This window comes from Homo sapiens, chromosome 5 (assembly GCF_000001405.40).
Source record: "Homo sapiens chromosome 5, GRCh38.p14 Primary Assembly".
Lineage (NCBI taxonomy): Eukaryota > Metazoa > Chordata > Mammalia > Primates > Hominidae > Homo > Homo sapiens.
The window spans coordinates 72,280,530-72,305,956 of NC_000005.10; the positions used below are offsets into that span (position 1 = coordinate 72,280,530).

Consider the following 25,427-nt stretch of genomic DNA (forward strand, 5'->3'; position numbering starts at 1 on the left):
AAGAATCAGCTCTACAAATAGAAACTCTTGCACAGCTTCTAAAAAAACCAATAAAATAAAAGTGGGGAATGCTGACAACATTAAACAACTTTAGCCATTCTGAGCTGCTCTTGTGCATGCCAGATATCAAAACTAAAATCTCTGGAAGCAGTTCCACAATTTCTATTTCAATTGCTTACATGCTCCCAGCCCACAGAACAGACCTCTCTTTTTGTGTCTAATCTGTATTTTGATTATTGATTCAATAACATCTTATCAGAGATCAGTTATGGTGCAGTTTTTTCCTAACTGGGAATCATTTTCTTGAGGCTTCTTCTCCCTTCTTCACAGATAGTAAGCAGATCTGTTGCCCCCTTCTGGTTTGTGGCTGTAAGCTTAGCAATACGGGTACACGTATGACAGATTTGATTTGCTGTCTTTTAGGGTCAGGAAGCTTCCCCCAAAATGTGATATCCTTTCTAAATGTGTGTTGAACTACTAGTGTTCCTAAGCATCTACTTCTCCACATTCCTGAGCCTTGATGGCCCTTACACCTTGATGCCCTTGGGGCAGGGGTGGTGCGGATGGTTAGGGAAACCTAAACCAGAAATCAAATACATTTTCCCATAAGAGAGAAGTATGGGAAATAAATACTCCTTGCTTCTCCCGATGTTACAATCTAGTATAGTCAACATTAAAGCTAAATTTTATTGAGCACTGACCTTCTTTGTCCCAAGACTGTTCTAAGGGCATTATAACGTTATCAATTTCTTGGAGTCTCATAAATACCCTAAAGCACAGGCACTATTTTAACACTCATTTTATGAGGGAGGAAATGGATGGCACATTCGACATTCAAATCCAGGCACTCTGGCTCAAGTCCATACTCTTGTCTACTATACTATACTGTGTCTCAGGTAAAGAGAAAGAAAGAAATATTTTTGACAGAAGACAAAACAAAATAAGTAAGCACCCCTGAATAGGTAAAACAAAATTTTATAGATGGGTCAGAGAGATCACATTCAACCGTGAAAATCAGGGTAAGTTTATGAGTGTAGCAGAATTTGGGACAGGCCTTAAAACACAGGCTGTATTCTGTTAGAAAGAGACAGTGGGGAGGGAAGAGCATAGGCAAGATATGAAAGTAGAAGGCACATTCAGAGAACAGTAGTCCATTCCAACTGGAGTCTGAAAGCACTGTGTAAGTGTGTAAGTCTGTTATTACCTGCTATTATTCAGCAAATGGAGGACTATACTAATCTATACGTATGAGATGCACAAAGTTCTCACTTGAACACATAATTTCAGTGTTTGACTTATCAAAACTCTGCCAAGATTTTTACCAATGAAGACTAATGATTGAGTTTCACCTCTTGGTAGTGTCCATCACTGAACTATGTAACAGCCAGTGCATAATGAATACACTGTTCATGTGCTGTAATGATCTGGTGTTGGAAGACCTAGTTTTAAGTCCCAGCTTTGCCTATTACTAGGTATAAAATGGTGATACTATTTGTCTTAAAATCAGCATTGCTATTAAAAAAACAGAATAGACCTCAAAATGTAAAATCTGCCTGTTCAAAACAAACATACCTGGAAATCTATCATGAAAATGAAAGCAGCCTAGACCACTAAACAGAATTCACATCAAATACTTCTAGCTCCTCAGATGTCCTCTTGCCTAGACACACAGCATCTGGAAATACTCAGGAATTTATTTGCCTTTGGCCTCAAAAACCATGATGCAATCAACTGAAACTTCTGTTCCCATAAATCTCTCCTTGAAGCTTCTGTTTATCTACTCAGCTCTCCCTTAAATATTATACCAGTTTCTGAAACGATCTCTTAATTATTTTCAAATCAAACTGCGTTACACTTAAAACCCTACTGAAGTAGGGTTTATATAATAAATATAAAACTATATTTTAGTTATGCCTTTCTCATTGCCCTGTAGCTATAATTCCTGGTACCTTAATTTGACTTTACAATTATAAAAATAGGCAGGAGAAATATTTTTCAATAAAAGGGGTTTATACTGTAGAAAAAAAAGAACTTGGATACATATTCTTATGTGAAATTTTAGGAGTTTAAGGTTTAATTTACAAATGGTTCTGTAGCTATTAGAACAGATTTACTTTAGCCTTCTCCTTTTAAATCTCATGTATATACAAGGCATCAAAAACATGTGGTTTGTGGGCCTTGCAGGAAAAAGGCAAGTACATATGTATAAAAATTAGTTACCTAGAGGATAAATAAGAGTGGATACCCAACTTCTCATACCACAAAATTTACTAAATATATTCACAAACAAGATAGTAAATGAAGTCTGTCACCTAAATCCAGAAGAGAATAAGAGATCTTCTACCCTTTCTGTTGTTTACTTTTACATCTATTAGTTTTTCTCTTGATATTCATAGTTAAGGCGGCTGGAACTTCAATTTTAAAGTGAATAAAATTCTGCGTGAGAAACTAAACAAAAAGCCAGAGCTACATGCTTTCAAAGTCTGAGGCATCTGGTGATAAAATCTTATCAGTGACATTAAGAAACATTATGTTTTAGCTATGGGAAGTGCCTTGGGAGGCATCCAAGATGATCTGCTCATCTAGAAAGCTGATGTCCAGAGAGTTCACTAACTAGTTCAAAGCTACAGATCAAAGTGGGGACTAAACTGGTCCTAAGACCCCAGTCACCTCTTTCTTCCCATCCTGACTCCTTCAGGGTCTTTTTAGTACCTCCCCCACAAGATAATACATTTTCATTGTTGAATTTCTTTTTATGTTAATTTTTTTCTAGGTTTAATTAATTCTATGTCACACTGTTAGGAGGTTTCAAAATGTTCATTGAGTCTGTATCTTTTGGTATATTACTGAAACTGCTTAGGAAAAAAAACTGACACAAAGAGATACACTGGGCTAGCTGATGAGCTTCTGAACTTGAAGTCAGGCCTCATCCACAGCTGGAGCTTGGACTTGTCACATGGCTCCAAGGGACTCACTTAGTCTATCCAGGTTGCAATTTCAGATTCCGGAAGTTGGCAGGACTTCAGAGGTCATCTGGTCTAAAATTTTCCAACTAGTGCCAATACACCAGGAAGACCCAATGGGTATGTTTTGGCAATTGTTCTTTCTCCAAAGGTCTGTGGCCAGTTCCTGTCAAACAGTCCAAGTATGGTCAAGTAGGCAAGATATGATCCAGCAAGCTTAGAAAGAAATGTGTACGTACAAAAAAAAAAGGCAAAAGAAAAACTCACCCTCTTGCTGCCTTCTAAATCTGCTTCCAATTCAATACTTCTATCATGTACAAGCCACTTTCCCACTGAGGTTCAATTTTCAGTTCATTTTTGACTCTCCTTGTTTTCTGTCTCTACATTCAACCTGCCATTAATCCTGCTGATCCAATTTTTTCCCTCCTATGTACATTTCTCTCTTTATTTCCACTGTCTACTACCACAGGACAGGTCTTTTTTCTCTATATGCATAGACAATTTCCTTATAACATTTACCAATTTTAATAAAAAATTTACCCTGTTATAAATCTTTCTGAAATACTTTTATTATGATATATACTTCTTAAGAATCTGCAGATGACTATCTTGAGGATCTTTTAAAAAATATTTTTTCAGGCTAGGTGTGGTGGCTCATGCCTATAATCCCAGCACTTTGGGAGGCCGAGGCAGGTGGATTGCTTGAGTCCAGGAGTTCAAGACCAGCCTGGGCAACATTGTGAGACCCCATCTCTAAAAAAAAAAAAAAAAACACCACCAAAAAGGCCAGGCATGGTGGCATACGCCTAAAGTCCTAGCTACCTGGGAGGCTGAGGTAGGACAATTGCCTGAGCCTGGGAAGTTGAGGGTACAGTGAGCTAAGATCCTGCCACTGCATGCCAGCCTGGGCAACAGAGTGAGACCCTGTCTTTAAATTAAAAAAAAAAAAAAAATTTGGTTAATTTCCTTCTGTGTGTGTGTGTGAGAGAGAGAGATGGAAAAAGAGAAGGGGGGAGGGAAGGGAAGGGAAGAAATGAAAAATATGTATTTTTTGAATAAGTAATATACACCCATGATATAAAATTCAAAAGTTACAAGAGACAATTCAATGAGAAGTCATCCAGGTTTCTTCCCTAAAAGAAACCAATGTTACCAGTTTTTGTGTGTATCATTCCAGAGATATTTTATGTACACACATACATATATACACATAAGCATCAAAGCACATGTATACATATTACACATAAACCACAGTGGCTACATCACACACTAAGTCCTACTCTTGTTTTTTTCACTTAATACATTTCACAATTTATTCAATAGGAAATACAAATAAAGCTTCCTCATTCTTTTCAATCACTGCACAGTATTCCACTGTACAGCTGTAGAATAATTAAACAGGCTTCTATTGATGGACGTAATCTTTTACTTTTTGCAATGGACATTTTTGGCATGAATATGAGTGTATCAGGAGGTTAAATTCCTAGAGGTGGAATTATTGGGCCAGAGGGTATTGTACTTATAATTTTGACAGATGCTGCCAAAGTTCTATCTATACAAGTTGTACCGATTTATATATCCACTAGCAATGTATGATAATGACAGATTTTGAACCCTCCCTTCTCTCCTGCCAACATTCTATTCCCTCTCTAATCTGCCTTCCTTATTTCTCATTATTCCCCAACAAACCCTGATCTCTCTGGTTAAGGCAGTTTCCATAAAGCTAGTTCTCACTTCCTCCTTCTAACTCCAGCTGTACGATTTGTTCCATCTTGAACACTTGCTCCTGTTTCCTCTACTCATCTAACCTTCAAGGCTATCTTAAGTTCTACCTCTTTTATAAATGTTTGCTGATAACAACATCAATCCTTCTTCTAGCCTGCTCAAAACATGTTTTCTCTAAAACTTACATTTTGTTACATAAATTCAGTAAATTTATCTACTTATCATATCCTGGATTTGTGTTGATTTTGAATTGTTTCACGTATCTAATGATCTTCAACCATCTAATAATCTTTTTTTGGGAGGGGGACAGGGTCTTGCTCTAGTACTCAGGCTGGAGTGCAGTGGCTCGATCATAGCTCATTGTAGCCTTGAACTTCTGGAATCAGCCTCCTAAGTAGTTAGGACAACAAGGCCCAGCCTTAGCTTCCTGAGTTGCTAGGACTATAGGCACACACCACCATGACCAGCTAATCTTTAAAAACATTTTTGTAGAAACGGAGTCTCACTATGTTGCTCAGGCTGATCTCAAACTCCTGACTTCAAGGGATCTTTCCACCTCAGTCAACCAAAGTGTTGAGATTACAGGCATGAGCCACTGCACCTAGTTGTAATATTTTTTTATTGTTGGGATTATATAATATCCTTCCTTTGAATATACCACAGTTTTAGTGCATTAAAAAATACTCTCAAAGCCTCTACTGGCTTTAAAATTTCCCGTATAAACAGAGCTGAAAATCATTTGTCTTACAGACACGAATCCGTCCTCATTTATTTCCATCTCAAATCCTGTTAGGGCAGTTTAAATTTTCCCGCAATGGAAAAAGAATGACTTTTGCAAAATCAGTCTCTTCCCTCATATTCCTTATAATCTTCTTTGTTAGTTCCTAAATATATACTATACATTCAATATGTATTTCTTGAATTGATATTGTTCCTAATGTCTCTATATTAATAATGCATGTGCGTGTGTGTATATACCTAAATATGTATGTGTGTATACACACACACATATACAAGAGGTGATTCTAAAATTGATACGGAATGGAAAGGACCGACACTAGCCAAAATAATTTTGAAAAAGAACATGCAAAAGTTGAAGGGCTTACACTACCTAATTTTAAGACTTATTTAAAAACTACAGTCATCAAGACAGAGTAGTATTGGCATTAAAATAGATAATAGAACAGAGATCAATGGAACAAAGAAGTCCAGAAATAGACTCACACAAATATAAACTAATTATCAACAAAGGTACAAAGGCAATTTAAAAATAGCCTTTTCAACAAGTGGTGCTGACACAATTAGGCATTCTTATGTCAAAAAATTAGCTTTGATCTTTACCTTATAACATACACACAAAAAAAAATTCAAAATCATAAATCTGTAGGGAAAGAAAGTATTTTGCTCAACCGTTTTTAAAATTAACATGGGATATAAAAATTCTTTTAAACAAATATAAAAAATAAATGCAGTCTTTTTATGCCCACTGAATAGACCTTTCCTGTCAGCTGCTGTTAGCTGAGCTGTCCTCTTACCTCTCTTTTCTGTGTCACAGAACCTTTGCTGCTACTGCTGGGAAATAGTATGGCTTTTCACCTCAACAAGCACTGGGTGATGGTGATACCAAAATAAAGCCGATCATAGACCTAATTATAAAACCTAAAACTACAAAACTTCTAAAACAAAATCTAGAAGAAGAATCCGTGTGGTGCTGGGTTAAGCAGATTCCTTAGATATGGGGTCTCCAACCCCCAGGCTGTGGATTGGTACCAGTCTGTTAGGAACTGGGCGGCACAGTAGGAGGTGAGCGGTGGGTGGGTGAGCATTACCGCCTGAGCTCCACCTCCTGTCAGATCAGTGGTGGTATTAGATTCTCATAGGAGCAGGAACCCTCCCTTTGCAAGGGATCTAGGTTGCATGCTCCTTATGAGAATCTAACTAATGCCTGATGATCTGAGATGGAACAGTTTCATCCCCAAACCATCCCCAACACCAACCCCCAGCTGTGGAAAAACTGTCTTCCACAAAACCAGTCCCTGGTGCCAAAAAGGTTGGTGACCCCTACCTTAGAGAACACCAAAAGCACAATCCATTAAAAAAAAAAAGTTGATAAATTGGACTTACATAAAAAATAAAAACAGGTTGGGTATGGTGGCTCATGCCTGTAATCCCAGCACTTTGGGAGGCCGAGGTAGGCAGATCACCTGAGGTCAGGAGTTCAAGACCGGCCTTGCCAACATGGTGAAACCCTATCTCTACAAAAACACAAAAATTAGCCAGGCGTGGTGGCAACTGCCTGTAATCCCAGCTACTTGGGAGGCTGAGGCAGGAGAATTGCTTGAACTTGGGAGGTGGAGGCTGCAGTGAGCCAAGATCGTGCTACCGCACTCCAGCCTGCATGACAGAGACTCCATCTCAATAAAAAACAAACAAACAAACAAAAAAAATTGACAAAAGATTCGAACACTTTACCAAAGGAAATATCATTACTCATTGGGCAAATAATTAAAGCCACAATAAGATACCACTAAACACATGTTGGTATGGCTAAATGTGTTGGCACAAATGTGGAGGAAGCGGAACTGCTGTTGGGACTATAAATGGTATAATCACTTCAGAAAACAATTTGGTAGTTTCTTAAAAAGTTAAACATTTACTTACCATATGCTCCAATCATTCTACCCCTAGCTATTTATCCCACAGAAATGAAAGCACGCATCTATACAAAGACTTGTGCATGGATGTCTGCAGCAGCACATACTCCTAGGGACTCAGGACTGGAGTCTGCAGAGGTACATAGTTAGCACACCAGAGGAATAAAATGGAATAACCATCTAAGGTATGAGATCATTCTGGGAAAGCTAGGTGGAATGCTTAAGCCAAAGCCAAAAAAATACCTTGAAGGTTCACTCTTCCTATGATGAGGCTCCAGATGAAATAATAAGACCAGTGGGAAGAGAAGTAGAGTCTGAAGCAGTGGAGGGCAAGAATTCTTTTTTTTTTTTTTTGAGATGGAGTCTTGCTCTGTCGCCCAGGCTGGAGTGCAATGGCATGATCTCGGCTCACTGCAAGCTCCGCCTCCTGGGTTCATGCCGTTCTCCCGCCTTAGCCTCCCATGTAGCTGGGTCTACAGGCGCCCACCACCATGCCCAGCTAATTTTGTTTTTGTATTTTTAGCAAAGACGGGGTTTCACTGTGTTAGCAAGGATGGTCTCGATCTCCTGACCTCGTGATCTGCCCGCCTCGGCTCCCAAAGTGCTGGGATTACAGGCGTGAGCCACTGCGCCCGGCCATGGAGGCCAAGAATTCTAATCCTTATCACAAAGCTCCCATGATCTCTGGCAATGCATGCACTATGACCAACGATCTGCTATTTTCCAGTACAGAGCTATTAACAATAATAAGCAATCTCCCAGGCCTGTGGTAAGGATCAGCAAATAAGAACTAAATAAAGAACTAGGCAATATTAAAGTATAGAAGTGCTACTAAAAAATGCTCTCAGACTCATTTCTCTCCCCTTGGGTTCTTACTCTTTTCTTAATAATGTTCAGGCATAATGCGACCTGGCAATATGCTAACAGAAAAATTTAAGATTACCTTTTATTGCTGTGAAACACAAAGTCTCTACGCCCTCAAAGGAAAATTACTGCTGCGTAAACGAATGCATGCTGTTCCCTCTTAATAATCCCTCTTAATAAACTCCCACCTTCCCCTTTTCCTACAGGCAGAAATGGATTTTTACAACATAGGCCTGGGGTGGTGCTATAGCCTTCCAAGGAACCATTGGGTATTTTTGCTTCATGAAAAATGAAGCTATTTTGGTCCTTCCTTTTTAGGCTGGCTGCCAACCCAGGACCTGGAGACATGCAGGCTGCCATCTGCCTTGGCCCAGCTGTTCCTGACCTGCTATCCATCTCCAACCAGGGATACCTGGGATCTGCCAGGTTGGCTAAGCAAATAGTGAAAGATACTTGAGACCCACGTACAGCATGGATGAATGTGTTGGCAGTACACAGCTTGCCACGCAATCTGAACTTCCTTTCTTACTGGGTGGCATGCCACTCTCCATAGCAACACTGAGAGCTGTATTCTGAGAAAAACTCATCTTCCACTGAGCTTTGCAACAGTCTTTTCTTATTGTATAACAATTCAGCATTCCCTACATGTTTGCTAAAAACTAAAAGGCTGCTTTAAAAGAATGCTATATTCTTTTTTTTTTTTGAGACAGGGGTCTCACTCTGTCACCTACGCTGGAGTACAGTGGTATGACCTCGGTTCACTGCAGCCTCGACCTCCCAAGCTCAGGTGATCTTCCCACCTCAGTCTCCCAGGTAGTTGGGACTACAGGTGTGCACCACCACACCCGGCTAATTTTTTGTATCTTTTTATAGAGATAAGGTTTGTTATGTTGCCCAGGCTGGTATTAAACCCCTGTGCTCAAGCAATCCGTCTGCCCCAAGTGCTGGGATTACAGGCATGAGCCGCTGTGCCTGGCCTAAAAAAAAATTTACATCCTTAATATAAGGAGTATATGTTATATATGTTAGAAATTTCTATGACTTATCCTTCAGGAATGACTGTTACGTTGCAGATCAAATTATCAGTTCTGATTATTGACACCCGGATAGTAGAAGGAGCAAGTTTAATTTCATACATCTCTAAACTACCATGGTCCCAACATGATTCGAAGGCCTATGTAAGCCTTTAAAAATGCAATTTGCAAATATCCTCAGTGAAGATGAGGACACTAAGTGGAAAGAGGAAATTTTTATGGCTTGAGTTTGCATTTTAGCAATGCAGTAATCAAATACTAACACAAGAATGGTTAAAGCTTGTCATAACCATGAAAATAATGGTTTTTGCCAATGGCACAATTTTACCAGTAACATGCTGTTTTATCTCCTGAAAATAGAGACATAGAGCCCGCCCCAAGGTTCACTTGTCTGCATTTGGGCAGTATACATTGGGCATGTGGACTTGGAGGTTATGGGGGGAAAGCTCAGAACTACAGACTAGGTGGCCCAGGAAAGATGCTCTCTACAAGATGAAAAAGGAAAAAGTTCCCATTGTATAAAACTCTACATACACTCACCATAACTGACTCCAGGCAGACAGATCCCTTTTAAAAGGGGATCTCTTATAGAGGAACAGCTAAGCCTGGTCTCTCTGGAATTTCTTCTGCCTTAGTTTCCTATAAAGAAATTGTAGCCCCATCTGCGATCCTTAACAATAAACCTTGCACTGAGACAGCACTGCATTGTTTTTATAGCATTGCCCCACTGCTCACATCTGATCCTTGTGGTTTCTCTCTCAGGACAGGCAGTGGCTTATACTTAAGTCTCTATGTTGGGTGTGCTCAGCCAATCTCTATGTTTTAGTCTCTGCATCAGTAAAATAAAGATGCAAATCTAATTCTTAGGAATGCTCTAAGTTTATAGTAAAGCAAAGGTAGGAACCCTTTTCTCTTCCAAATATTAACAAGAGGGCGTGTGGATAGGAAGTAGAAATTAATCCTTTGCCCAGAAAAAGAAAGTATTTTGCCTAACTGTTTTTAAAATTAACATGGGATATAAAAATTCTTTTAAACAAATATAAAAAATAAATGCAGTCTTTTTATGCCCACTGAACAGACATTTCCTGTCAGCAGCTGTTAGCTGAGCTGTTCTGTTACCTCTCTTTTCTGCGTCACAGAACCTTTGCTGCTACCACTGGGAAAGAGCATGACTTCTTACCTCACCAAGGACTGGGTGATGGTGATATCAAAATAAAGCGGAAATGCTCCTGTCTAGCACCCTGCCAGCGCTGGTCTCCTGACAGGTAGCATCTCAGGGCCTGTCCAAATCTTCTCACTCCTCACCACACCTTTTTTCCGGTGCTGTAGGGAAACTTGGGAGACTGGCTGTATCTAAATTTTCATTGTGAAGACAGAAAACCCATCAATTATATGCTTGTCTTACTTGGTAAGGTCTAAACTAAGAAAGTCTTCTTTGTAAGAAGAGAAAACAAAGACCCAGAGTATTTAAAACCCAAAAAACCTAAGGGAAGAAATAAAAATAAGTCTAAGCAAAAGAACCTATTTTTCAAACAAGATCTCACAGCAGGGTTCCTAACAATTTTTTGTCTTGAACCCTCTGGCAGTCTGATGAAGGCTTCTCAGAATTAGTTTCTTACAACAGAAACCAATTATATTGAAATACAATTATCAAGATATTAAGAAATCTTTGGGATATGGTAACATATGTGCTGCTTTATTAATGCATGAAATAACACTAGCTAGCGGTAGGTTTAATTACTAACATAATTTCTAAGCAGTGATATCTGTAACAAATGTAATGTGATATGAAAAAATCAATGATTTTTATTGGCAAGAAAGACACAGATGCTGTTAATATTATAGTCATCTGCTGCCTACATTCATAAATGAAAGAAATGCTAAATATTATTGAGGTTAGTGAAAATAAAAATATAATTTTATTCTTATGCAAGTTCACAGTCCTCTCTGAATTTTCTCTGTAGACACCGATAAGGCAGCTGGAGGCACAGTTTCTCTGGCAGAAACAGAAGCAAAAGCAAATGGCCTGTGGCAGCATGGTCTGGCCTATCTCCAGACCTATTCTTCCCCCAAGCCACGCCCTAGAGGGCCTATAAGAAACTAGCTCCAGGGCTTCTCAGAAGACAGCTTGAAAACCACTCATAAAGAGGTTTACCATTTAGCCTGCTAGTAATATCTGTGCAAGAGCACACCTATGCCTATTTTCCCAACCTCCCGGCTTAAACTATACATATCGTATAAAGTCCCTGGCTCAAATCCTTATTTCATTTTACTGTATTTATTTTTTATTATCTTATTTAAGTTTTCTTTATTTGTCACAGCCCAACAGTATGCCTTGTTTCCTTATTTTGTTTATTTTACTTTGTTTTAACTTTGTTGCTATTTTAATCACTTTTACTCTTGGTTTATTTTCCTTTTATATGGGTATTACCAGTTTTTTTTTTTTTTTTTTTTTGGCCAATGAATATAGTTGCTGGTATTGCCTTAATCATTTTTAGTTCACATTATTCTTTGGTTAGAGCTTCACCCTTTCCTTGGTGTTTTCATTTTTTATTTATAAATAGAAGGCAAAAGTTGATCATAGGATTGCCAGCTCCCAGAGAATAGACCACGGCCCAAATAAAAGTACTTAGAAATTTGTTCTCCTGCCTGCTGTCTGAATAGCAGCCTTTCTATCTCTCCTTAAAAGATCCCTTTAATGTTGAAGTCCCTAAACATTTAAGCCTATGTACTTTCAGAGATTCAAAACTTGAAATCTTCTGCTGGGATGATAGGGTGATAATAAGCTGGCAGGTACCAGCAGCACCCTGAGCTGCTGGAACTTGGAACTGTTTACTTGTGTGCCTGATGCAATGGCAGAAGCTCAATCAGCTCTTCACTGATCATTCAAGGTTTCTAAACTTCTTTGGCTCTAGACTTTACATAATAATTGCGGAAATTTGATCACTAGAAGAGGAGAAGATGTGGCAGCTACACTCCTGCTAGCAGAGCCTGGTGTTCACAGGTTATGTCAGAGAAAGAGGTGAACCAATGCCAAAGTTCTCCTGTGGGCTTGTCTGTTAAAGACGGTACTGCTTAAGGACTGAGAAATCCTAACCCCAGGCCTGCAAGCTGTGAGTTGTATAAAATTAAGAAGTTCCTTTTTCATTTCCTCACCTTAGACCTGGAATTGTAAGTTTGCTCCGAGATGTCTAAAGTCATCCCATGAGGAGATGTTAGGCATCATAATGATTGAAGGCCTAACTGGTAGAAATATTACACAGCAGTAAGTCCTTGGTGTCTTCAGGATTAACATCCCTGATTTTGATTACTTGAGATAAACCCCAAGAGTTTATAACTTGTAATTTTTAATTTTGCTAAGGCATAAGTATGTTCTGTATATTCTCTAAGGGTGGAAAGCAAGAGTGAGGCACTTAGCTAACGAGAGAACCCAGCCAATCTCCACTGTTCCGACGCAGCTTTGTAGAGTTCTACCTAGTCTCATATATATACAAGCACATGAAGTCATAAAAACATTTCTGTCTTAAAAAAAAAAAAAGCTGATAAAAAGAGAGTCAATTTTCTTGGTAATGGAAGGGAGGAGAAAGAACTAAGATAAACGATAAATCATAGCTAAAGAACTAGTTTTGATTAAAGCAAAAAATGGGATGTCCAATTAAACAGTGGCTCAGATTTATGATGGACAAGAGTCTTTTATTTGATCTATATGGAAATAGGACGTAGTGATCTTATGAAACTTTCAGTTATACCCCAGGCCACACAAAACTGAACATCATGTGAAGAATTAATCATAGAAGGTCTTAAAAACAGAATTTCAACTTTTCAGTAATACTTGGAGAATGTCTAACTTATTCAACATTAGATATCCAGCACCCAGGAAAGGGCCTGCGCACATAATAGGTGCTCGGTAAATACTTGTTGAAATGCTGAGTCACTGAAATCAATTTGATGCTACAGAAGTACTTCTGAATTTGGAACATACTTCTCCCAACACTATGGCACTGTATCTCACAGGATGAAATTCTAAAAAACAGTTTATATTTAGAAATTGAAACTATGTTCTGCATTTTGCTATAAATAAAAATATGAGAACTGGCCAGATGCCAGCCCAAATACACCCTTCATCACAGACAAAAAGTAACTACCAAAGCAGCCCTACAGTCCCAAAGAGCCACTAAAGGAAGGCAGGGCCACCTCTCATCAAGGGGTTCGTTTATCTTTATCCTAATGAAGTACAAGAGGGCACTCACAACTAAGATGACTTGCAACTAAGTTAGGACCTAAAATTTCAACTTAGGACATTGTTAAAGCCAATCTGAGATTTAAAATAAATGTTTTTTAAAGGTGTGGAATCTAGCCTACTTGAGGTTTACATTTAAATAGAAAATACCCAAAAAGTGGTAGCATCTACCCAATTCAGAAATTAAAAAAAAAGCCTCATTATTATTTAGCAAAATCAGAGAAAAACGAATACATTTTCACTAAAATACAGTAAGCTTTAAAAAATGCATCTAGAAAAAAACTACTCCCCAAAAAACCCCCCAAAACAACAACAACAACAACAAAAAATAAAAATGCATCTAGACAGAAACAACTAAAAATTCTCTTGATCAAAACAAGCAAGATCAAATGGGAAACTCTAATGCAATGCTTACTGGAAACATTTAAAATTTCAATCTGAGTCTATTTTTGGAACATAGGAACTGGAACAAATCACAAATCAGATTTTTAAAACTGAAATCGCAATAAAAATTTAGTTGTAAGGTACAATTCTGACAGATACTTGTTTGACCAGTTCTTTATTTAATGTGCATTAGGTTGTTTCAGTCTTTTGCTACCATAAATGATGTTGCACTGAACATACTTTTTGTACACATGGCTGAGTTTTGTGGGTAGTTCACAATGGAATTGTTAGCAGCTGTGAGAAAGAGTGAAGTAAATGTGGTAATGTAGAAAAGGTTTTAAAACAGTGTTAACTGAAAATAGGTACATAACAGTTCACATCGGGTAAAATTCCACCTGTAAAAAAAAAAAGGAGAGAAGAGATATACATACAGATTGAGTATCTCTAATTTGAAAAGTTCCAAAATCCACAATTTTTTGAGCACCAACATGATGTTCAAAGGAAATGCTCATTGAAGCATTGTGGATTTTCGAATTAGAGGTACTCAAACAGTAAGTATAATGCAAATATTCAAAAATCTAAAAAAATCCAAAATCTGAAACACTTCTGGTTTCAAGCATCTTAGATAAGAGATACTCAACTTGTGTGTGTGTGTGTTTGTGTGTGTGTGTATAAATTTTCACCTATCAGATTGGCAAAAAAATGCAAACATGTGAAAATACCTAACTATTGGCCAAGCTGTAAAAATACATGTCTCTCATACCTTGCTAGTGGGAATGTAAAAACTTCAACAGAAAGCAATTTGTCAATAGCGATTAAAACTATAAATATATATACTCATGAAAATTAGGTGAAAAATTACATACGTACAAGGTTATCAATTATAACATCGTATACAATACAAAAAAGAGAACAACCTAGAGGTCCATAAAAAGGGAACTGGTTTAAATAATAAACTCACAGTATGGAATAAAATGCAGTTATAAAAAATCAGAAACTCTCTCTATACTCATATGAAAAGATCTTTAAAATATAAACTTAGAAGGTGTCAAAATTATACACAACATATACCAACTTTTATGTAAAAAAGGGGTGTGAAATCACAGAGTACATAGCCAAATCAAATGGAAAACTTACTTGTAAAGGTAATACTCTGCATGATCTATCTCTTCCCGAGAGGAAATGTTGTCTATAAGCTAAAAGACAGAAAAAGAAACCTTTGGTTGAATATAAATTATGTCATATATTTGGCCTAGGGCCTAGATCACACATTGACCTTAGAAAACACAGGACACCCATTTTATTGGAACGATGGTGATGCTTAGTGGAACAATGTTCACGTGGTATGGCTCCATCCTTGAAACCCCTTTATGCTAATGCAAACAAAGAATATACAATGGCTTCTCTTTTTCTATGTGTAGAATAACCTTGATCAGAAAACGGATTGAAAGCCAAACATGAACCTTGCTCAGAACAAGGAGAGTGTTCCACTGATTATAACTAGTTACCTATTTTTTCCTTTATCTTTAAACCCTGATATTATTTTCTTTATGTTCCAAACATGGGAACATATGGCTGAAAAAATGAAGACTCTGATGGCTAAAAAACTATTGCCCAGAACATAAACATCTAAATTTAGAGAACTCAGTCTTGCAACGATTTTTTCTACTTTGATTTAGCTCTGCTATGCAACAGTAAACCTATGATTCCTTTACCAACAAACTCTCCCTTCAAACCATAAAATCTCTGAGTATGCTCATTAACTATGGTCCAAATAAACAAATAAAAAGGATTATTCCAAACACAGATTCTATTCTAAAATAGAGACTCAGAGGCAAAAAAGAAAAAAAAAGCGTAGAAGACAATGCATGTTGTGAATATAATGAAAACCTCATAAAAGAAAGAGAGGAGAGTAAAAAGAGGGAGACTTTCTAAAAATGCCTAGCACTTCTGGACTTGACTTAGAAATCCATTAAGGGCATATAAAATGTGGTTCAAACACAGAACCTGAGCTTGAGAAACAGCTCTGATTGTTTGCTGTATGGCATAAACAGATGGCATAGCCCCTCTGGGACTTGGTTGCTCCATCTGCATAAATAGGATAAAGGCACTGGCCTCGAAGAGTATAAGGCACCAATGAGAAAATGTACATAAAAACTGTAAACCTTGAAGTACTACCTAAATAAATACCAGGTATTATGGCATACAGAAGTTTTACCCATCATGTAAGGGACGAAAAATGGCCTTTCCATTCTCCTCCAATATGCCAATTATGAGTCTATTAAATGTAACTTACGAACAGTAAAATTATTTCTCAACTAAAAGGCAGAAAGAAAGGACCAGGATTCAAAAGAAAGGTAATTTCTTTCCTCTCTCTCTTCCATATTTAACAATATTTTAAATTTTATGGTGCCATTAATTTCTGTAAAAAGTTTTCACAGCTAAAATCTCATTTTAGCATCCCATTATTCCCTGGGAGGAAGATGCAACCGTACCCATGCTGAAAATGAGAAAATTGAGAGGGATCTCATTGCCCAATGTCATGAAGTGAATTCATGTTAAAGACAAGCCCAGATATATTTGAAGCAGGCAACAGAAGAGAACCTAGATATCTGGGTTTGAATCTCAGTTTTTCCACGCTTACAAGCTGTGTGAACTTGGGAAAGTTATTAAACCATGTCTTACATAGACTGTTTATTGCATAGGGAGCAGTGAGAATTAAAAAAATAATGTATGTTAAGGAACTAATACATTCAAAACTGGCATAGAAGGTGCTCAGTAATGGTTACTATTCCTGATTCCTAACCTAACATTATTCTTCCACCCATCACTCTGCTGCAGTTTAACTTTAACATTAATATCCATTCTTTTACAGACTTTCTTGGCTACCAAAAACACTTCCAATACTAACGGGTAAATATCATTACTTTGAAGGATGTATCAACTTAAAAAAACTGATGGTATCATACAGCAGAATGTCATATCCTGGAAAAAATAAATCAGATACACAAAACTGATTACTGATATCAGAATCTGGTAAATGTATTAACTTTTATTTCAGCCAAAGAAATTTGCTATTACAGTATAAAATATCTATTAGTAACTATAAAAACTTACCATACTCTCAAAAATATTTCCTATGCAAACTATTTTTTATTTACACAGCCTCATCTACATGAAGGGCCTTTCTGGCTTTCTTCCTTGTTCTTGGAAAATATATATGTTAAAATTTTCTTACCCGTGATATTGTTAAAGAACTAACAGGCAACTTTCTCTCAAATGTTTTATCCATTAAAGATGCAAGATCAGCTGTGAAGACAAAAAAAGAAAAAAAACCTTGTTAAAGATACATATTTTTTTACAATTCTTGCCAGATGGCTGCCAACATGAAGTATTAAAAGAAACGTTCTTTCTTGCTTTTTAGAAATTATTTTTATATAAATTAAAGAGGAAAAAAGAATATTCTTTAAAACATTTTAAAAATGATTTAATTGGGTTGAGAATTATTTTAAAAAAACTTTTTACCATGTATTTAGCTTTTAAAAAAATGGATCAATTTGAAAACCTAGGAGATGCTATTCTGGACATCGGCCTTCAGAAAGAATTTATGACTAAGTCCTCAAAAGCAATTGCAACAAAAACAAAAATTGACAAGTGGGACCCTAATTAAACTAAAAACCATCAACAGGGTAAACAGACAATCTACAGAATGGGAGAAAATATTCACAAACTACGCATCCGACAAAGGTCTAACACCCAAAATCTGTACGGAACTTAAACAATTCAACAAGCAAAAACCAAATATCCCCATTAAAAAATGAGCAAAAGACATGAACAGATACTTCTCAAAAGACATACAAGCAGTCAACCAACATAGGAAAAAAATGCTCAACATCACTAACCATCAGAGAAATGCAAATAAAAACCACAATGAGATACCATCTCACACCAGTCAGAATGGCTATTATTAAAAAGTCAAAAAATAACAGATGCTGGCAAGGCTGCAGAGATAAGGAAATGCTTATACACTGTTGGTAAGAATGTAAATTAATTCAGCCACTGTGGAAAGCAGTTTGGAGATCTCTCAAATAACTTAAAACAGAGCTACCGAGACCATCCTGGCTAACAAGGTGAAACCCCGTCTCTACTAAAAATACAAAAAATTAGCCGGGCGCGGTGGCGGGCGCCTGTAGTCCCAGCTACTGGGGAGGCTGAGGCAGGAGAATGGCGTGAACCCGGGAAGCGGAGCTTGCAGTGAGCCGAGATTGCGCCACTGCAGTCCGCAGTCCGGCCTGGGAGACAGAGCGAGACTCCGTCTCAAAAAAAAAAACAAAAAAAAAAAAAACAGAGCTACCATTTGATTCAGCAATCCCATTATTAGGTACATACCGAAAATAAAATAAAACATTCTACCAAAAAGACATATGCACTCGATGTTCACCGCAGCACTACTCACCATAGCAAAGACATGGAATCAACCTAACAATGGTGAATTGGATACAGAAAATATGGTACATATACACCATGAAATACTACACAGCCATAAAAAAAAAAATGAAACCATGTCCTTTGCAGCAACATGGATGCAGCTGGAGGCCATTATCCTAAGTAAATTAACGCAGGAACAGAAAACCAAATACCACATGTTCTCATTTACAAGTGGGTGGTAAGCACTGGGTATACACGGACATAAATATGGGAACAGCAGACACTGGGGACTCCTAGAGGCAGGAGAGAGGGAAGGGGGCAAGGGCTGACAAACTACCTATGCTTAGTACCTGGATGATGGAATCACTTATACCCCAAACCTCAGTGCCATGCAATATACCCATGTAACAAACCTGCACATGTACTCCCTGAATCTAAAATGAAAGTGGAAATAAAGAAGTCCAATATAATTAGCTCATGAAAGAAAAAAATAAAAGAAAAAAAAAAAAGACCTGGGATGGGGAGGGGCGGGGAAAGGATCAATAAAATATTTCTGGAAGGAGACACAAGCAAGTGTATTTCCTGATAGGTTCCCCCCAAAAAAAGAAATTAGATGATGGGAGATCCAGGGAAGAAGACTCTTCATTGCTTACGCATTTATTCCTTTTGTATTTTGAAATATATTAGCTATATATCAGGTTATAGGTGTATATTAGCTATTCAAAACATTTAAAAATTGAAATTTATCAAGTGACTTTTATACCTACCCTGAACAAATCAGAGCAGCACTCTGGTTATCCTTAATGATTTTTGGCCTGAATGATTCCTATTTTGGTTCCTTCTAGCAGAACATCCATAGGAATATTTGGTATTTCTGAGATCACACTTTTATCTCAGAGTCTGAAAATATCTGAAATCCTAGGCAGCATACTCTCTAAAATGTTTACTTCACATCTTGTCATTGCTTTTCAAATTTACAATATCCTTTTTCCCCTTCTCCTCACTCTCAGCTCATGATTTTGTGTCTCATTTCACTGAGAAAACAGAAGCAATCCAAAGAGAACTTTATCCTTCTAGCATCATGTCTACCAGGTTACTAGCATCTGTGCCCATATTCTGTGTCCTCCATTCTGTTACAAAGGTTGAATGGTGTTAAACAAAAAAGCCCTCCCTTGCCCTCATATTTCCTACCATTATGGCTCCTTTTCTCTGCTCCTCTTAACAGCAAGACTGCTAAAAAGAGTCATCTTAGATACAGCTGTTACTACCTCCTGAGCTCCCAGTCTTCAACACATTCAACTGACACCAATAACCACTGCCACATTGTTAAAATCCAGTGGTTAATTTTCTGTTCTCATCTTACTTGACTTCTATCATTTGATACAGTTGACCATTCTATCCTTCACAAAATATTCTCTTTTTTCTCTCCTTCTTGTGTTCCTTTGCAGGATCTCCTCTTCTTGACTTCTAAACATTGGAGTGCCTCTAGGACTCTAGTAGACTGCAGACTTCCCTTCTCCATCTATGCTCGGTCCCTAGGTGATCTCATTCTCTGCCACGCCTTTAACCATTACCTACAGATGGTTGGCTCCACATGTACATACCTACCCTGTCTTCTCCCTTTAACTCCAGACTTGCATTTCCAATTACATAGGTGATATTTCCATCTGGGTGTCTAATAGGTATCTAAACATCACATGTTCTCTTATTTCCTCAACCTTCCACTTTCAATATGCTTTTCCTATCTCAGTAAATGACCACCACATTGGCTGGTTTACTGAGGCCAAAAATGTAGGCATCATCCTTGACCCCATTCTTTTCACACTCTATAACCAATTTGTCAATAAATCCTACAGGCTCTAGATTTGAAAAATAACTATATATTTCTCATCACCACTACTGCTAAGCCACCAGTATCTCTCATCTCCTGACCTTGTTTTAACTACTGTCCCCACCCTTATTATCTAATCTCCACCCAGCAGTCTGAGTGAGCATTTTAAAAGATAAATCAGCCAATCAGGATAAAAACCAATAAATGCTAATCTGTGTTGTTTTTCTGTCTCTTACACTAAAAATAAAATCCATATAATTACTAATATACACACTCTCAGTCCCTAGAACAGTTCCATAAAAGGCACCTAGTAAATACCTAAAGAAATGAATCAAAGGAAGAAAAGGAAGAAAGAAAAAAGCAATTGGGTTTCCAAGGTTTGTTTACTCCCTGGTGGAAGAAATTGGTATCAAGTAATAAGGACACACCAGAAATGATCAAGTAATAAGTATTTGTTGAAAACCTATTGTTGTGCATTTAACCATTTTTTCCTCTCTTTTTTCCCTGAGGGATTGATCTCAATGACTCAGTACCTACTGGGGGAAAACAACTTTAGAACTTTAGAACTTGATACGATATGAAAGCAATTAGCTTTTCTTATGACTATCTTAAAGGGATTGAAGCCAAGTGATTAAAGCAAAATAAAAACAAAAAAGTCCTTAAACCCCCTTCACACTAAGGCAACTTAATAGCATTAAATCTACTTGCTTACAGATGTTAAATGTCTCTCTCATAATAGCAAATCTTTTGATCATTTCATAATGAAGGCTTCTGTGTTTAGATGAGAGGCAATATGAGAAATTACCTCCCTCTACCTGAAATTTACAATTTAACTTAAAATAGCAAGATCAGGATCTATGGCCTAATTAAAATGAAAAACCCATCATTTCTTTGTGGGTTTCACATCATGCACAATGTATAACCAAACTCTGGAATAAGGTGGCTTCACTGATCACCTCTGTAGTGTGGTAACTCAAGATTGCATGTGAATCCTTCGCACCAAGGCATCTTTAGTCAAGTGAAATTGGCTGGAGCCTCAGAAAAGGTAACAGCTGCAAAGCCAGCATCTAATGAATAACATTTGCATTTTCCAAGTCAGAGAAAGGTTTGCTGCTAAATATATCATGTGGCCAATCACCTCACAGTATAGCACTGCCGTGATGAATGAGGCAGAAAACTGCACAGAGCAGGGACGGCCAGGAAAGCTGGGACAGCTGCGGCGTGCAGAGGGCCAGCGCCACAGGCTTCTGGACTGTGGGCTTCCACAGTCAAAATCCCACCTCATGTTTCAGTGAGGGGCCAGCAGATGCCCAGGTTTTGTTCAAAGAGATGTGCCAAAGAAGATACTTTTTTGCTTGCTATTCAGCTCCTCAGGAATACATACTGTGGCAGATGGTTGTGGACAACAGACTATATGGGAAAATGGATCTGAAATTTGAATTCTTCATTTAACAAAACTTGAAGCTAGACAGACAATGTGGAAGTATGTCCAGAAAATAAAATGTATACTAAAAATGCCCTTCCCATTTGAAGAAAGCAATACTATTAACGATCTCAGAATATACAAGATTGTATTGAGAACCCTGCACTATTCCCAGTAAGAGTGCAATGGCCCACAAGCCTGGGTGAGGATTCAGATTGCCTGAGGGGCTTTAAAACTTCAGATTCCTAGGATTCTTTTCACCCAGAGGGAGACTCTAATTCCCTGGGTTTGAGGTAGCACGAGAGACTTAAACAATAGCCCCAGAAGATTGTAGCCAATCAAGCACGTCAGTTATGTTTGGGAGCAACCATGGGAGGGAACACAAAAGAAGTCTTAGATGTTGCTCCTAAGCTCAAAGAAGATACTGAATAGGAATTCCATTGCTGGAATAAAATGAATTAAATATCTTTAAAAAATTCCTCCTACTATAAAAATAAAACAAAATATCAATTTTCCCCCAAATATATGACTGAGCTTTCAAGAAGGTAGATGTAACTGTCAGAGGCCAAAGGCAAGATGGAAACATGAACTTGGAGTGTTTAGAGGAGCAGTCCCTTTGAGGGGAGCAGTCCTTTTGAGAGCATGTGATGATCTACAGTGATGGAGAGCTTTAGTTTCAGTGACTTATGGGGACAGAGGATAAAACCAATACTTGTAAGATGAGAAGCTTGTTCAGAGATCCTCAGGTAAAGCCAGGACCACCTAAGGGAACTACACCTGAAGTGAAAAGGTAAAACTTATCACTACAATAATGCACCCTAAAAAGTAAACAACCGGGACACTTGTCCCCTGAAGATTATAAACTACAAGTCAGCCCTCATGCCTCTTTGGGGATTTAATCCACTCTTCTTTTGTGATCCAAAATATACCAAGCTGAGAATTTTGTTTGAAGAGTTGACTTCACTATATAAAATTCTAAAAATTGTGAACTATTCTATAGAAACAAAAAAGCATATCCATGGTTGCCTGGGAATTTGGGGTATAGGGCCAGAAGCGGAAGGAGAAAAGGGTTAAAGAATAGGAGAAAACTTTGGCAGGTGACACATATGCTCATTATCTTGATCATGGAGATGACTTTATGGACATATACACCTGTACATTGGTCAAAACTGATCAAATTGTACATTTAAATATACATAGTTTATTTTATGTGAAGAATACCTCATCAAAGCTGTAAAAAGTAAACAATGAATAAGTTAAAAAGCAGGTTAGACACAGGTGAAGTGAGAGTGAACTGAAAGGCAGATAATTACACAGAATGCTGCAAAGATAAAAATGAGAACTGTAAAAGAGCAAAGATATAGAAATATGAATAAGAATGTATGATGAGACAATGATGAGAATTTTTTAGAATTGATAAAAAATATAGGTTTCTAGATTCAGGATATGTATACAATCTCAAGTCAAAAAAGTAAAATTATTATTTCAAAAACGATGAATGAGAGGATCTCAAAAGTGGCCAGAAAGAAAAGAGAAATTACAAAGAAAGAAACAACTATACTAACAGGTGTTTTCTCAATAGGAATGATAAAATCCAGAAAATAGAATAAAATGTTCAAAATGTTGCAAGTATAAACTATCAACCTAAAATTGCATATCTAGCAAGATTATCTTTAAAAAATAAGGGCAAAATATGGGTATGCTGGCATGTGCTTGTAGACCCAGCTACTCAGGAGGCTGAGGTGGGAGGATCACTTAAGCCCAGGAGTTGGAGGCCAGTGTGGGCAACACAGCAAGACCTCATCTCAAAAAAAAAAAAAAAAAAAAAAAGATAAGGGCGAAATGAAGACATTTTTGGACAAACAAAAACAGAAAATGTATTAGCAACAAATACTAAAGGAAATTTTTAGAACTCAATAAAATTGGTTAAATTGGGGGGGAACTGACTGTTTAAAATAATGTTATATGTGTTTTAAAGGATAAAACTTTATTATTAGACAAGAGCATATGGTTAGATGTGTGTGTGTGGACCTAAGGTGTCCTAAAGGATAGTAGAGTGTGATGAGCATTACAATTTAAGCTAGATATGCATTTTAGAAGTTAAAGGGCAACAATCTCTAAAAAAGTAGAGGATATAATCTCCAGACCAGTGGAGGGGAAAAAAACGTAAAAAACAAAAACAATCCAAAAGTAAAAATCAATCCAAAAATAAAAAATAAAGAAAAAAAAGAAAGATGAAACCAATCACAAAATGTGACAGAAATAAATCCAATTATATTGGTAATCATGAAATGATAATGTAAATAGACGAAATTTTCTAGTTAAAAGATAATGATTGTCAGATTGGTTAAAAATATAAAAGCTAGCTATATAAATCATATAAACACAGAAGAGTTGAAAATTATTAAAAACACACTAGGAAGCCAAAATAAAGCTGGTACAGTTGTATTAATATCAGACACAATAGATTACAGGCAAAAAGCAGTTTTATAGATTATGTGGGTCACTACATAATGACCAAAAATTCATTTTGCCAAGATAATTTTAACCTGGTGCACACCAAAGTAACACAGCTTCACAGTACATAACCACAAAATCTGTAGTACAGATGTGTTGAAAAACAAGCCTCTTAAAAAAGAGTGTGGTCTCTGGGGCAAAGTTGTGATAATGAAGGTCACTGAAGAAAAATATGAATCCTTTATTGAATCCTTCTAGCTTCAGGTGAGAAATGGTTTCAGTTTTTCTTTTCTACATAACTGCACATTACTGTTAACCTTTCAGGCAACACTAAACTCTTTCTGGGCTTATGGTCATCTGCATACCTTACCTAATTTATATAATAAAGAAACAGGTACAGATTATTATTGTCCTTCCTAGAAGAACTGATCTTGAAAAATACAGGCTGAAACTGTTTTTGTTTCCCACATTTTAAAAGAAAAACGAGGACACATGACATATATCATGCATTGAATATACAGAAGGAAGTATGGAAAACTAGCCTAGCAACCAATTTGGACATAGATTTTTAGACTTCCTTCTATTTGTCTGTCACCAGAAGCTTTAACATAAATAAATCCAATAAAGGAAAAACATGAAATCAAGCTTTGTGTACATATATATTAATGAGACTAAAGAACGGTGATGTGCACAAGTCAGACCCATCTCTAGAACTTGGCAAATATGGAAACTGGAAAATGAATAGATGCCACAGAGATGCAAATACAGAACTGACAAAAGTTAAGAAAGCAGACTTCAGAAAATCTCCATCAGGCCTCAAGAGCAGGATCTGAAATATTCATGCAAAAAGCCAAAGGCCTCTACAGCTGAAATGACACAGCAAAACTAAATCTCAGCTAAAATGGAAGAAGTGTCTGTAAGAGACAGACCTGAATGCAAATGTGTCAAGGAAATACTCTTTGGATTCAAAAAGGAGGTTCTCCAAAAACAAACCAACAGAAAACAAACCAACAAACCAAGAGAAACCAACACAAACAAGCAAAACAGTAACCCAAACCAAAATGTGTCCTATACTTTGTGATGTGAAAAATCACAAATAAAATATTTAATCCAGTAGGGCTCATGAATCCTGAATTCAGCTCAAGTCACCTGAGTGCTCGCTCCTTGTCAGAAAGACTCAAGAAAACTTCCTCTCATGGAACTCAAGGAGCTTCCCCATGAGGCCTGCCCTCCTACCAACACCCTACCCAGTTCCCCAGTGGTTTTCTCCTGAGTCCTGTTCACAGTGGATCCTATTCTGTTAACTAGTAAATGTTGATAACTTTTACCCTGTACCTCCCCAACAAATCAGCAAGTTAGTGGAGGAATTCCAGAGACAATGCTTTAACTCAGTGTTTATTTTAGCCAAAGGGAAGCCCAGTACA

General features: G+C 37.4%; 1 protein-coding gene and 1 long non-coding RNA gene across 4 annotated transcripts in view, besides 2 other annotated features; both read right to left on the reverse strand.

Annotated features, from left to right (window-relative positions):
• Positions 1-25,427, reverse strand: part of MRPS27 (mitochondrial ribosomal protein S27) — a 100,838-nt gene that overhangs the window by 61,127 nt on the left and 14,284 nt on the right. For all 3 annotated transcript variants that reach the window (NM_001286751.2, NM_015084.3, NM_001286748.2), the window contains exons 3-4: positions 17,103-17,173; positions 15,002-15,060 (exon numbers count right to left, since the gene is read on the reverse strand). In NM_001286751.2, coding sequence (NP_001273680.1) covers positions 15,002-15,060; positions 17,103-17,156 — 113 coding nt within the window. In that variant the 5' untranslated portion in view covers positions 17,157-17,173. The remainder of the gene's footprint in view (positions 1-15,001; positions 15,061-17,102; positions 17,174-25,427) is intronic.
• On the reverse strand, positions 321-14,995 carry LOC107986422 (uncharacterized). The gene is made up of 2 exons (XR_001742742.2): positions 10,421-14,995; positions 321-3,129 (listed from the first exon to the last, which is right to left on the reverse strand). It is a non-coding gene; the product is annotated as an uncharacterized LOC107986422 (long non-coding RNA).
• Positions 20,803-21,758: an enhancer, noted in NCBI's record as "NANOG-H3K27ac-H3K4me1 hESC enhancer chr5:71597159-71598114 (GRCh37/hg19 assembly coordinates)". NCBI's record gives its function as "activates a minimal SCP1, AML or CMV promoter by ChIP-STARR-seq in naive H9 embryonic stem cells {active_cell/tissue: H9 hESC(naive)}" and the evidence as "EXISTENCE:reporter gene assay evidence [ECO:0000049][PMID:30033119]".
• Positions 21,318-21,547: an enhancer, noted in NCBI's record as "active region_22645". NCBI's record gives its function as "activates an Ori minimal core promoter by ATAC-STARR-seq in GM12878 lymphoblastoid cells {active_cell/tissue: GM12878}" and the evidence as "EXISTENCE:reporter gene assay evidence [ECO:0000049][PMID:35858748]".